The 16,081-nt window shown below is 37.3% G+C and overlaps 1 long non-coding RNA gene across 1 annotated transcript in view; it reads right to left on the bottom strand.

Moving 5' to 3' along the window:
* Window positions 1-15,634, bottom strand: part of LINC03106 (long intergenic non-protein coding RNA 3106) — a 51,734-nt gene extending 36,100 nt beyond the window's left edge. The window contains exon 1 of the long non-coding RNA NR_170894.1: window positions 15,483-15,634. This is a non-coding gene — a long non-coding RNA (long intergenic non-protein coding RNA 3106). The remainder of the gene's footprint in view (window positions 1-15,482) is intronic.
* Between the last annotated feature and the right edge of the window lie 447 nt (window positions 15,635-16,081).

Raw genomic sequence — 16,081 nt, 5'->3', positions numbered from 1 at the left:
CTATTTCACTATATATATATACACACACACACACACATATACACACACACGTGTATTCACTATATATGTATATATATACATGTGTATATATGTGTGTATATATACATGTGTATATGTGTGTGTATATATACATGTGTATATATGGTGTATATATGTGTATATACATATATGTATATGTATATATACACGTGTATATTATATATGTATATATACACGTGTATATATGTATACACGTGTATATATGTATGTATGCACGTGTATATATGTATATATACACGTGTGTGTATATATACACACATATATACATATGTATATATATACATATATAGTGAATACACACACTATTTCACTGTATAGTGAATACACACACAATTTCACTACACATACACACACTACTCACACATAAACACTATACTACACATACACACACAATTTCACTATATAGTGAATACACATACACATTATATATATGTAGTGAAATAGTGAAAGGACTATATATATATGTGTGTGTGTGTGTGTGTGTGTGTGTATTCAACTTATTTAATCAAACCTCAACTGTGGGTTCCTGATACGGTTACCTAATTGCACACTCAACATCTCTATAAAGAAGTTTAAAACAAAACTTCAACATGTCCAAAAGTGACCTCATAACATTTTCCCCCCAAAATATTTTTCAGTTACTTCTGACTTATTTTTCATCCTAATGACCAAAATCAATCTACCATTGTCTTCTGTTAAATGTGTATTCCAAACAAATTCTCAAGTTTATACAGTTCTCTTCATCACCACCATTACCCCCATGGTTGTTAATACTACTTCATCTCTCTAACTATTGCAATAGTCCACTTAACTGAATTTCTGCATTTCTCACCGCCAGCCATCATATATGCTATAGCCAGAGTGATATAAAAGTGCACCAATAATTAAAGAATTTAATATCCTTCCACTTCGCTGAAGATTATGATGAAAATCCCTAATGGTCTAGTCTCTGCATACATTTCTAGTCTTATCAAAGATCCTTCAACCATATTTCTCTCAGTTTCTCACATGTCCCATTTTCTTTTCCATTACTTTGTATATATTGTTCACTATCAAAACCTACTTTTTCTCTTTCTCAAACTATTATAAAATATTTCAATATACAATGGCTAGTTTACTGGAGCTATGCTTAGAATATCAATATCTGGTGGCTCAATTTTTATAAACAGAAGTGTTGTTGTGGCATCTATTAATATTTATTCTTTAATTTTCAATATAAGTGACACTTCCTCTGAGAAGCCATCATTTACACTTACCAGTTAGGATCTGTTCTTGAGTGGTCACAGCTCACTGCAGCCTTGACCTCCTGGACTCAAGGGATCCTTCCACCTTAGCCCCTGGAGTAGCTGGAGTTACAGATGTGTGCCACGATGCCTAGCTAATTTTTTAATTTTTTGTAGAAATGGGGTTTCACTATGTTGCCCAGGCTAGTCTCAAACTCCTGGGCCCAAACAATCCTCCCACTTTGGTCTCTCAAAGTGCTGTAATTGCAGGCGTGAGTAATGCATCTGGCAAGATCAATTCTTTTCTGATGCAGTCTTCTAAAACAATATTTATTTTCAGCTTATATAAGTGTGATTATTTGATTAATGTCTGTCTACCTCACTAGGCTAAAGTCTTCATTAGAACACGAACCCCAACTAGTTTTGCTCATAAATTTATCCCTAGAACCTAGTGTTCCTGTTGCAAATATGCTCAATAAATATTTTTCAAATGAATGGTTGAGTGAACTAAAGAATAGCACTTAATCAAGACATAGTCCTGAAAGCAGATTAAGATAGAAATAAGAAGGAGATTAAGTGAGATGAAAAAAACCCATGAATTGAATAACTTGTTTTCATCAACATTGATAACTGCCTCACTTAAATGAGAGTTAGAAATTATGCCTATAATGGGCATTTACCATTTAGGTTAAAATTTTTTATTTTTTCTATTTTTTTGAGTGGAAAAAGTCAATTTCATATGATTAAACCTTGATAAACTAAATAAGTTGAGTACACACACACACACACACGCCTTTTAAGTGATCCTACAAATATTCATTAGTTTACACACACACACAGACACACACATATTCCTATTAAGTGATCCTACAAATATTCATTAATTATTATACTCCAAGTATTATGCTGAGTACCTGGGATAAGGATAAATAAATGCTGGGCCCTGGTCTTATATCTCTGAGTCTTAGAGATAAAAGAAAATATGCACAAGAAGACCGTGATGACCACAGAGTTCAGAATGATAGATTCTTGCACTCCATGTGCTTAAAAGCAGAATGAAGGGACAACAATTATACTTATTAATTGTGATATTTAACCTAGCAGGAAATATCTTGACATTCTGGCATAACTAGATGTAGTAACTAAATGATTAGTTTGAAACTTCTAATTTAGCATTTAATACCAACGAAGAATAATAAATAAGAATCAAGAGCAGTGTGTCTGAGATTGTGGAAAATGTAAGTAAACAGTGGGAAAGTAATTGGTAGCTTAGTTGACTGATCAGGGCCTTATTTTCTTACTGATTCTTGGGTTTGGTTAAATAACAGATACTTGTTAAAGTCTTATAAAGGTAGAAAACGGTATGATTTGAAGTCAGCTATATCAGATCAACTGTTTATCCCTACAAACTGTACAATTTCAGACATGGAAAGGGCATTAGAGGTCACCCAGTATCTAATCTACCCAGTATCTAATCTAGTTAAATTGTACATGAAAAATAGCTCCATTAATAAACCCAATATTACATAATTTGATAAATTCTAAAACAGGCAAAAATGCAACTTTATCCTTTATTTCACATGTCATTTTAAAGACAATGCTTGATTTAGATGAACAAAAAAAGAATAAAATAATTTAACTCACATCTGTTGGAAGCATACTATGTGCCAGGCACTGTGCTGAGTGCTATGTATGTATTATCTCACTTACATCTCTTGATTATGTGAGATTTGTACTATTATCATGGTCATTTGGCACCTTAGGAAACCGAAGTTTATAAATATTAAGTTACTTGCCCAAGATCAATCAGCTAGCATGAGACTGAGGCTGAAAGATAAATTTGTCATATGTAAAGCTGTCACTCTCATTATCTAAACTCTGTATCCACAAACCTATTGTGGTTTTATCTACATAATGTTTCAACTCACAAACATGCCATCTTTTCTTGCATCATTTATATAGTGTTCACAATTTCATGGGGCACAAGCTGTGTGTGTGCAATGAATCAGCGTTTGGAAACTGTATCATGATCAATGTAGTGAAACGGTCTTCCCTTGTCAAAACGAAAATGATAGGTAATGCCAGAATAAAAGCAGCTGGGTTTGATTATAGTCTTTACCTCTGTGATACACACTTTAGAGCCCACAGGATTCCCATGAAATTATAGCTCTCCATGTTTCAGTGTTTCTGTCTAATATGTTCTTTATTTTTACATTGGCAGCATGTCTTATGTAAGACAGTTTTGTATTGATGTAGCTTTGCCTAAGTGGGTCCCAGAGCGTTTTTCCACCTCTCATTATATTGGTAACACATAAATCTCAGATCACAAACTAAAGTTGACAAGAAATGTCACTTTCTTTGTTTCCTCAATAAGAATGCAATTTTTTTCTTGGGCTTCTTGTTTAGTCTAATGGGAAAATATTTAATCTTAGTCATTCTGGGATAAATTCATTCATTTAATTAAGAGCTTTTCAGGGGTGGGGCCAAAATGTCAACTAGAAGCAGCCGTGTTTGGAGGCTCCCATCGAAAAAAACCATAATAAGCCTGTGAATCCTTCACCGGCAATCAAGGTATCCAGGTTCTCATAAAAATTAACAAGAAGGCTGGTGTGACCTATTGAGAGAAGGAACAGTGTGGTGCGGCAGCCCACCTGCGAGACACAAAGGGAGGGAGAACCCTATTCCCCGAGCCAAGAAAGGCAGCGAGTGAGCACGCTACCCAGCTGGGGAAACTGTGCTTTTTCCATGGAACTGTGCAACCCACGGATTGGAAGATCCCATTGAACCCATGCCACTGGGGCCTAGCATCCCAACCCCAGAATGTGCAGATTCTTACAGCCTCTCAGATGGAATCTGATTAAGCCTACAGAACTCTGGGCGGGGAGGGGTGACCAGCACTGGCTGCAGCTGCCTGCTAGCTAAGCTATTGAGCTCCTTGGGGGCAGGGCACCAGCCAGCACTGGGACTCCCAACTGCATAACATGTTAAGCTCCCTGGACTGGGGAAGGGTAGCACCCATTTCTATAGCTCCAGGCTGCGCTTTTCCCCTGCTGGAGCCAGGAGGCTGGACGGCTCTGTCCCAAGACTTGTCCCCACAGCCCAACACACTGGCTGTGGCAGTCTGCGGCCAGAGTGCCTCTTTAGGCCTAACCCTGACTCATCCTGCCTCAGTGAGTGGTGCTTCCCTGCAGGATCTCCAGTAACTCCAGCCAGAGGCTCAGGGACAAAATTCAGATCTCCCTGGGCCTGAGCCCCTACAAGGAGGGGTGGCCTCAGTCTCTGTGGACCAGCAGATTTAGCCTCTCCTCCTGGTAGTTCTGAGGACTTCCAGGCAGCCCAGATGAGTGGTTTTCCCCCCAGCAAAATACACCCTCTCCACTAAGGGACAAAGTGCTTCATTAAATGCGTCCTGCTCCCTGTGCCACCCAACTGGGTAAGATCCCCCAACAGGGATTGTCAGATACCCTCTACAGGAACAATTCTACTGGCATCAGGTTGGTGCCCCTTGAGGTCAGAGGTCCCAGAAGAAGGAGGAGGCACCCATCTTTACTGCTCTCCAGACTCCTTGAGTAACATTTCCAGGCACGGGAGCAAATCAGATGAATAGGGCCTAAAGTGAATCCCCAGCAAACTGCAGCAGCCCTACAGAAGAGGGACCTGACTATTGAAAGAAAAAGAAGCAGAAAGTGACAACAACAGCATCAAAAACAGCAACAACAAAAAAGGCCCCCCACAAAAACCTCATCCAAGGGTCAGCAGTGTTGAAGACTGAAACTAGACAGACTCATGAAGATGAGAAAGAATCAATGAAAACATGCGGAAAACCCAAAAGGCCAGAGTGCCTCTTCTCCTTCAAATGACTGCAGCATCTCTCCATCAAGAGCACAGAACTGAATGGTGTATCAGGTGGACAAATTGACTGAAGTAGGCTTCAGAAGATGGGTAATAAAAAACTACAATGAGCTAGAGGAGCATGTTCTAACCCAGAGCAAATAAGCTAAGAGCCTTGATAAAAGGACAGAGGCATTGCTAACTAGAATAACCAGTTTAGAGAGGAACATAAATGATGGAGCTGAAAAACCCAGCACAAGTACTTCATGAAGTATACACAAGTATCAACAGCGGAATTGACCAAGTGGAAAAAAGGATATCAGAGTTTGCAGACCACTTTACTGAAATAAGACATGCAGACAAGAATAGAGAAAAAAGAATGAAAAGGAATAATGAAAGCCTCTGAGAAATATGGGACTTCATAAAAAGACTGAACCTACAGTTGATTGGAGTACCATAAGGAGACAGGGAGACTGCAACAAGCTGGAAAGCATATTTCAGGATATTATACAGGAGACCTTCACAAAGCTAGGAAGACAGGCCAATATGCAAATTCAGGAAATACAGAGAGCACCCATTAAGATGCTCCATGAGAAGATCAACCCCAAGACACATAATCATCAGATTCTCCAAAGTCGAAATGAAGGAAAAACTGTAAAGTGGAGCCAGAGAGAAAGGCCAGGTCACCTACAAAGGGAAGCCTATCAGACTAACAGCAGATCTCTCAGCAGAAACTCTATTAGGCCAGAAGACGTTGGGGGCCAATATTCAACATTCTTAAAGAATTTTCAACCCAGAATTTTATATCCAGCCAAACTAAGCTTCATAAGTGAAAGAGAAATAAATTCCTTTACAGGCAAACAAATGCTGAGGGATTTTGTTACCACCAGACCTGCCCTGCAAGAGCTCCTGAAATGAGCACTAAATATGGAAAGGAAAAACCTGTACCAGTCACTGCAAAAACATACAAAAATATAAAGACCAATGACACTATGAAGAAATTGCATCAACTGATGTGGAAAATAACCAAATAGCATCATGATGACAGGATCAAATTCACACATAACAATACTAACTTTAAATGTAAATGGGCTAAATGCCCCAATTAAAAGAACCAGACTGGCAAATTGGATAAGGAGTCAAGACCCATTGGTGTGCTATATTCAGGAGACCCATCTCAGGTGCAAAGACACAAGCAGGCTCAAAATAAAGGGATGGAGGAAAACTTACAAGCAAATGGAAAACAAAAAAAGCTGAGGTTGTAATCCTGGTCTCTGACAAAACAGATTTTAAGCCAACAAAGATCAAAAAGGACAAATAAGGCATTACATAATGGTGAAGAGAACAATTCAACAAGAAGAGCTAACTATTCTAAATATATATGCACCCAATACAGGAGCACCCATCTTCATAAAAGAAGTTCTTAGAGACTTACAAAGAGAATTAGATTCCCACACAATAATAGTGGGAGACTTTAATGCCCCTCCAGTATTAGACAGATCAATGAGACAGAAAATTATCAAGGATATTCAGGACTCGAACTCAGCTCTGGATCAAGTAGACCTAGTAGATGTCTACAGAACTCTTCACCCCAAATCAACAGAATATACATTCTTCTCAGTGCCACATGGCAGTTATTCTAAAATCGACCACATAATTGGAAGTAAAATACTACTCAGCAAATGCAAAACAACTGAAATCATAACAAACATTCTCTCAGACCACACTGCAATCAAATTAGAACTCAGGATTAAGAAACTCACTCAAAACCACACAATTTCATGGAAATTGAACCACCTGCTCCTAAATGACTCCTGGGTAAATAATGAAATTAAGGCAGAAATCAAGAAGTTCTTTGAAACCAATGAGAACAAAGAGACAATGTACCAGAATCTCTGAGACACAGCTAAAGCAGTGTTAAGAGGGAAATTTATAGCACTAAATTCCCAGATCAGGAAGCTAGAAAGATCTCAAATCAGTACCCTAAGCTCACAGTTAAAAGAGCTAGAGAGGCAAGAGCAAACAAATCCAAAAGCTAGCAGAAGACAAAAAATGACTAAGATCAGAGAAGAATTGAAAGACATACAGACATGAAAAATCCTCCAAAAAAAAATCAATGAATCCAGGAGCTGTTTTTTTGAAAAAAAAAATATATAGATAGATAGATAGATAGATAGATAGATAGATAGATAGCTAAACTAATACGAGAGAAAAGAATCAAATAGACACAATAAAAAATGAGGACGGGGATATCACCACTGACCCCACAGCAATATGAACTCCCATCAGAGAATACTATAAACACCTCTGTGCAAATAAACTAGAAAATCTAGAAGAAATGAATAAATTCCTGGGTGCCTACACCCTACCAAGACTAAAGGAAGAAGTTGAATCCCTGAGTAGACCAATAACAAGCTCTGAAATTGAGGCATAATTAATAGCCTACCAACCAAAAGAAGCCCAGGACCAGACAGATTCACAGCTGAATTCTACCAGAAATACAAAGAGTAGATGGTGCCATTCCTTCCAAAACTATTTTAAAGAATTGAAAAATTCTTTAAATTTTTCCCTAAATGACTCCCTAAGTCATTTTATGAAGCCAGCATTATCCTGATACCAAAACCGGAGGAGACACAACAAGAAAAGAAAACTTCAGGTCAATATCCCTGATGAACATAGATGCAAACTCCTCAGAAATACTGGCAAACCAAATCCAGCAGCACATCAAAAAACTTATCCACCATGATCAGCTTCATCCCTAGGATAAAAGGCTGGTTCAACATATGCAAATCAATAAGTGTAATCTATCACATAAACAGAACCAAAGACAAAAAGCACATGATTATCTCAATAGATGCAGAAAAGGCCTTCAATAAAATTCAACATCGTTCGTGTTAAAAACTCCAAATAAACTGGGTATTGATGGAACATATGTCAAAATAATAAGAGCTACTTATGACAAGCCCACAGCCAATATCATATTGAATGGGCAAAAACTGGAAGCATTCCCTTTGAAAACTGGTACAAGACAAGGATGCCCTCTCTCACTCTGATTCAACATAGTATTGGAAGTTCTGGACAGGGCAATCAGGAAAGAGAAAGAAATAAAGGTATTCAAATAGGAAGAGAGGAAGTCAAGTTGTTTCTGTTTGAAGATGTCACGGTTTTATATTTAGAAACCTCCATCACCTCAGCCCAAACACTTCTTGGACTGATAAGTTGCTTCAACAAAGTCTCAGGATACAACATCAGTGTGCAAAAATCACAAGCATTTCTTTACACCAACAATAGGCAAGCAGAGAGCAAAATCATGAATGAACTCCCATTCACAATTGCAACAAAGGGAATAAAATATCTAGAAATACAGCTAACAAGGAATGTGAAGGATCTCTTTAAGGAGAACTACAAACCACTGCTCAAGGAAGTAAGAGAGGACACAAACAAATGGGAAAAGCATTCCATCCTCATGGATAGGAAGGATAAATATCATGAAAATTCCCATACTGCCCAAAGTAATTTATAGATTCAATGCTATTCCTGTCAAACTACCATTGACATTCTTCAAAGAATTAGAAAAAAATTTTAAATTTCATATGGAATCAAAGAAGACACTATGTATCCAAGACAATCCTAAGCAAAAAGAATAAAGCTGGAGGTATCATGCTACCCAAATTCAAACTACACTACAAGGCTACAGTAACCAAAACAGCATGGTACTGGTACCAAAATAGACACATAGACCAAGGGAGCAGAACAGAGACCTCAGAAATAACACCACACCTCTATACCCATCTGATCTTTAACAAACCTGACAAAAAGAAGCAATGCAGAAAGAATGTCCTATTCAGTAAATACTTTTGGGAATAGTGGCTAGCCATATGCAGAAAACTGAAACTGAACCCCTTCTTTACACCTTACACAGAAATTAACTCAAGATGGATTGAAGACTTAAATGTAAAACACAGAACCATAAAAACCCTAGAAGAAAAGCTAGGCAATACCATTCAGGACATAGGCATGGGCAAATACTTCATGACTAAAACACCAAAAGCAATGGCAACAAAAGCCAAAATTGACAAATGAGATCTAAGTAAAATAAAGAGCTTCTGCACAGCAAAAGGAACTATCATCAATGTGAACAGGCAACCTACAGAATGGGAAAAAATTTTTATAATCTACCCTCTGACAAAGGTCTAATATCCAGAATTTACAAGGAATTTAAATAAATTTACATGAAAAAAACAATCCCATCAAAAAGTGGGCAAAGGATATGAACAGACACTTGTCAAAAGAAGACATTTATGTGGCCAACAAACATATAAAAAAAAGCTCAACATCACTGATCATCAGATAAATGCAATCATAACCACAATGAGATACCATCTCATGTCAGTCAGAATGGCGATTATTAAAAAGTCAGGAAACAACTGATGCTGGAGAGGATGTGGATAGATAGGAATGCTTTTACACTGTTGGTGGGAATGTAAATTAGTTCAACCATTGTGGAAGATAGTGTGACGATTCCTCAAGGATCTAGAACCAGAAATACTGTTTTACCCAGCAATCCCATTAGTGGGTATACACCCAAAGGATTGTAAATCATTCTACTATGAAGATAGATGCACATGTATGTTTATTGCAGCACTATTTACAATAGCAAAGACATGGAACCAACCCAAATGCCCATCAATGATAGACTGGATAGAGAAAATATGGCACATATACACCACGGAATACTATGCAGCCATAAAAAAAGAATGATATCATGTCCTTTGCAGGGACATGGATGAAGCTGGAAACCATCATTCTCAGCAAACTAACACAGGAACAGGAAACCAAACACTGCATGTTCTCACTTATAAGTGGGAACACTGAGAACACATGGACACAGAGAAGGGAACAACACACACCATGGCCTATTGGGGGGTGGTGAGTGAGGGAGGGAACTTAGAGGATGAGTCAATAGGTACAGCAAATCACAGTGGCACACATAGACCTGTGTAACAAACCTGCACGTTCTGCACATGTATCCAGTTTTTTTTTTTAGAAGAAATAAAAAAAAGAAAGCTTTTTCTCTCTAGGGACCATATAAGATCTACTTTGTAGAGGGCTTCGAGTATCATGAAGGCATTAAGATAAATTAAGTATAGCGGAATCTAATAATTCTTAGTTAACTTCCACACTGATATTCTCTTAAATTTACATTATCCCATCTTATCTGTGGGCCTCATTGTCTCTGTGCTTTAATCTGCTGAGAAATTCATGTTCTCAAATGGTCTTTGGGCGCATAAATGACAGCCGCATATACTTTATCCTGTTAATGAGTGCTTACTAGTTCCAAACCTGTCTGTTGCTATTTCCATATTACTGTTGAGGTGGGGTACAGAAATAATTGTTTTCAAGTCTTCCTCTGGCCTACAAAAACTCTCTTCAGGTTTGAAAGGACATTTGTATAAACATATAGGACAAACATTTTTATTCTATGACCCTGTAATTATATTCCCCACAAAAGATATAAGTCTCAGACCCTGCCTGGTATCTGTGAGTGTCATCTGATTTGGAAATAGTGTCTTCATAGATGTAATCCAATTAAGATGAGGTCATTAGAATTGGCCTTAATCCAATATAACTAGTGTCTTTATAAGAAGATGATGTAAAGACAGAGACACACAGGTGGATGACAGCCATGTGATGACAGAGGTAGCTGTTGGAGTGATGAATCTACAAAGACAAGAAGCACCGAGGATGCTGGCCGCTGCCAGATGCTAAGAAGAGGCAAGAAAGCATTCTACTCAGAATCTCAGAGATAGCATGGCCATGCTAACACTTTGATTTTGGACTTTTAGCCTCCAAAACTGTGATATAATAACCTTCTATTGCTTTAAGTCACCGAGTTTGTGGTATTTTGACAGAACAGTTCTAGGAAGCCATTATAGGTCTCTACACCATGCTGGCAGAAGGATGCTTATCAAGACTTTAAAAGTCTCAGAAATTCACCCAGGTTGAAGTTCAGTTGCTCCTTGAGTTCTTGGATCCTAAAATTCAATTAGAAGTCTCATTGCCCACATCACACTGGGAATCAGTTTAGGGAAGACATGAATAAAAAGACACAGTGCAAGTACTTTTCTTTGGGCATACACAAAGATCTAATTTCTTCCCTTTGGCTCTGTCTAAATTCTAATTCTTCATTTAGCACGAGTTCATGCAAAAAACACTATCAGACTGATCACTTATTCTTCCATGTCTATCGCTTTTGTATAGACTTTATGCTTTGAATCTGTCAGGATTCTGGTCTTTTTATTCAAAGCTAAGTTTCTTACAAATTAAGAGCTTTTTTCCTTCAAAAATTTGTCTCTGTCATGTATTTCAAACTCATATTTTGAAATTCAAAGGCTAAGAATTTATCTCGTCAATTTGTTGACTGACGATTGTCAATTGTCGATTGATGATTAAGTCTTCTACTTAATCATCACTCTTCCAAATGGTATGGACTAAATAGATGACAATAAAGAGTAACAGATAATTAGCAGAAAAAGAATCACTTTAATTTTCAAAACATTATGTCATTTTTGGAAATTATTTTGATGTTGGATCAGCCTATTTGGAGGTTTGGTTTATTATGGTCTACACAGGTTCACCAGCCTTTTTCCTTTGTGTCATTATAAGAGAGAATATCTTCAGCCAGTATTCCCTGAGTGGTGAAACTGTAATTGGCTCAGTAGGAAAATGTTAAAGGAAATGAAAACATTTCACTTTCTTCCTTAAAGCTGAGAAAGCCTAAGGGAAAGCCTGGATTTAGGAGTAAAGTTTTAGGCTATGCCTTATGTTTCACAAGGGGTTTTTGTGTATGTTAGTTCTATTTAGGGCTATAAGTTGGTATTAGTCCTGGGATCAAGGATTACCTGATTCTTGATATTGAGCCACTTCTACAAGGGCTCTGAAGAGAAGATATGTGAGAGAGACTTTGCACAAATGAACATTAATACTCAAAGTTCTGACCTCAAACCACAAGTGAAATTCTAATGAGCTGGGCTGTACCATGCAGAGGAATCTATGTGTATGACATACATCCCTTGGCTTTTGTGCCAGACTTTCTATTGGCATCTTGGCACAATTCCAGCTGTCTTCTATACCATTTTTTGTATTGTAGAGTATGGAGCTGAGATACTATAGTTAGACTTCTTGCTAGTTTAGTTTCTAGCAAGGAGAAATATAATTGGCTCAGGGAACCTATGCTGAACTTTTATTTTTTGTGTTACTAAAAGTGCTTCAACCTATCTTCCTTACTGAGATTGTTTGGATGTGTGTCTGCTCCAAAGCTCATGTTGAAAGGTAATCTCCAATGTTGGAGTGGGGCCTAGTGGGGTGTGTTTGGGTCATGGGGGCAGATCCCTCATGAATGAATGGCTTAGTACCCTTCTCACAGTAACAGGTGAGCTCTTACTCGAGTCCACTTGAGATCTGGTTGTTTAAAAGAGTGTGGCACCCCACTTTCTTTCTCACTCCCCCTTTTGCCATGTGATGCTCCTGCTCCTCCTTTACCTTGCACCATAATTGTAAACTTCCTGAGACCCTCACCAAAAGCAGATGCCAGTGCCACACTTTTTGTACAGTCTATAGAATTGTGAGCCAAAAAAACATGTTTTCTTTATAAATTACCCAGCCTCAAGTACTCCTTTTTAGTAATGTAAATAGACTAAAATACTTTCATATACCTGGAGAAAGAATATCTTTAAAAATATAAAACTATACATGATAGGACTATGATCTTAGAATAAAGAGTATCTAATTGGCCTTAATTTTTTCATTAATTTACTGTTAAGTTGGGTATGACATGACATATACCCTCTCTGGGCTTCCATGTCTGTAAAATGAAAGGGTCAAGAAAATTGACTTAGAACTTACCCAGAATGTTCTTTAAACTGTCCCAAAGGTTCTGATACAGGAAGAAAAAGATCTTTACATTTCAACAGGCAGACTTCACATTTTAGAGTGCTCAGGTCATGGCTAGGAACTGTAACATTCATGGGCACTACACCTTGTGAAACCTTGGAAGTGCCACCTGCTAAGATTGAGGCCTGAAATAACTTCTTGGCCCTGGTCAAAGAGGAACACTGTCATTGCAGAAAGAGTTGGCAAGAAAAGGAGGAACGATGAGTTCCCCATCACCTCTTCTCCATGTCTCATTTAATTATCTCTACAGTGCTATAAAGTGATCAGTTATTTCCGGTTCATAGATAATGAAATAAAGTGAAAGTGCCTTGCCCAAGTTCTGGTCTTTGCATGTGGGAAAACCGCACTTAAATCTAAGTTTTCTACTTCCAACTTTCTGTCTTCCATACTCCAGCTGACTTGCCTATGTACTGGCATCTCTACACGCAAAAGTAAAATAAAATAAAATAAAATAAAGTAAAATAAAATAAAGTAAAATAAAATAAAATAAAATAAAATAAAAAGGCATACTCTATTCATCACCTTCTGAGTCTGTTCTTAAGTGTTACTGATTTGATTATACACTTAAACTGCTTCACCTTTCAGGCACTGTGTTCCTTTATTCACAAAATGGGGATAATTACCGCTGGCTCTTAGACACTTCACAAGAATACTTTTGGGTTTAATTAGAAAATGAGCAATAGTTTTAGAAAGCTCAGTGCATCCTTGGTTATTAATGGACAGAACTATTTTTAGTCAGTTAATAAGACAGTCTTTTTCTATTCCCATTCAAATCTTCAATCATATCTTTAATTGTATACCTCACACCACTCCCTTTTACGTAACCCTATACAGACTCTCCTCTACTTTTCATCTACACTTCGTTTTTGGAAAAGAAGTTGACTCAATCATTTCTACCTTTATTTGAATTTCTCAGTGAGCTATATCCTCTAGGATAGTATCTATTTCATGTAAAATCAAGACTGTTGAGTTTACCCACTAAAGGGAATTTAGATGTTATTGAGGAAACATTTGAAGAAGTAAAATGGTTTTCTTTATGTCCTTGAAATTAAGGCATGTTTCTACAAATGGCTATCTATAGTAATTTTTCCCATTTACCATATCAAAAAGGAAAAATAATATTCAATAACAAACACAAACACTTTATATCCATTCTCTCCCCCAATTATAATTTCCAAATCATAAGGAGATAGTAGGATATAGGATATTTTATAAGCAATTCTGTTTGGTATATGTTTAGTTTTATTCTCCTAGAGGTCCACAGCTAGGATTGCAATTAGTCACTTCACAAAGCTCCAAGAACACCTGACAGTGTTGTTTATTTTGCACATTTTACCTCACCTCTTGCTGAAACAGACTCTATCTCCACTTGCTACAGGGGGTGTGTAGCTTAAGTTGAGCCATTTATAAGATCACAGTTCTGACTTCTGTGATTGGTCCAGGCAGTAAACATATGATCAAAGTAGACCAATCAGAATAATTTGCATTTTTTGTTAAATACTGAAGCTAGGAAAGAGAAGTTCTATTTTTTTTCCTGTTAACTAGTTATAAGACTATGACAAGAATTGCCAGCAGGCTTATTCGCTGTAATGTGGATAATCCTGAAGATAAGAAATAACTGCTAGTGGAGGGGAGAGAGAAAGAGAAAGATTTTAAAACCATAGGTTTTTGAGTTATTTAGTACCTATTGATTTTCCTTTGTCAGGCCACTGCAATGTCATTTCAATAAACACCTTAACCCCTTTTATTCTTAGGTAATTCAAGTTGATTATCTGTCATTTGGAGCTAAGAATGATGAGCTTAACATTATGGCATAACATTATAGAATAAAGTAATGCTGTAAATTGCAATCAGGGGGTAGATAAGGAAGTGAGAAAATGCAGCTTGCAATGGAAAAAACCCAGGAGCCACTAGAAATGAGTTAAATACATAATAAAAATGTGTTTATTGTAATTTTTTATATATATTTTAGATGCTTGAAAATACAAGCTGTTAAGGGGATTGTGTTAAAGAAAGAATGAACATCTCTTGAAAAATTAGTTATCTCCAGGAACTTATCATCTAGTTTTGTCTTTAACCTTATGGAATTATTTTTGTTTCCATTTTACAGTAAAAAAAAAAAATCTGAAAATTTAGGAGAATAAGTGTTTTGGTCAAGATCACACCGCTGGGAAGTGCTATGGTACAAGAAAACCTAGATTGCAGGTATATATGACAAGCCGAAGTTTTGTCCAATAAATATACCACAAAATTTACATGGAATTAATGAAGGAGGTGATCAATAATGTTCCTGAGTGAAATTATTCTCAGTGTAATCTTGGCCAGAATCATGACATCAGAAAATGTTAAATACAGAAAGAATATGTAAAATGATTTAGCCTGGTTCTCTCCTTTCATAGTTCAAGAAACACAACTCAGAAGGGCTAGTGAACTTACCTCAGGTCCAATACCCCTTTATTTGGAGTGTGTTCATGCATGAGTGGTCTCTCAAATTCTCTGCCAATCTGGAGAGTCTCTGTGTTCTTCTGATTTCACAGCATGAGAATGCCTTATGTCTTCCACATAGAGCAATGCCAGTGAAACTGCAAGAAGGGATACTTTTAAAATGAACCTTTTAAATTTAATTCTTTAGTATTTGTATGAGCAGAATGCAAATGGTGTCAACTCTATTATTTTCTGCACAAAATGTTCCTTGCTCAGGGCCAAATCAGGGGTAGGAAATATGGAACTGTGCCCCAAGCACCTCAAGGGCAGCTGGCCACTTCTATTTCTAGATCCCAAACACCTGCATTTCTCAAAAGCTGGTGCTGTTTCAGAAGAGACGTTTGGAAGTCATCAACATACTGCTTACTTACTGTGGATTTGAAAACCTTGAAATGTCAAGTTTTAGCTTGAGGCCAAGCTGAATTTTTGAGCCCTCATACTGATGGGTGATGAGATCATTTACATTGGATTATACCTCTGGTGTGTGAGCAATTCAGTAAATGATGAATACAGTGGGAATTACTGCAGTACATCTGCTGGACACTTTTATA

Source organism: Homo sapiens, chromosome 9 (genome assembly GCF_000001405.40).
Source record: "Homo sapiens chromosome 9, GRCh38.p14 Primary Assembly".
Lineage (NCBI taxonomy): Eukaryota > Metazoa > Chordata > Mammalia > Primates > Hominidae > Homo > Homo sapiens.
This window is presented reverse-complemented; position numbering and strand designations above follow the sequence as displayed.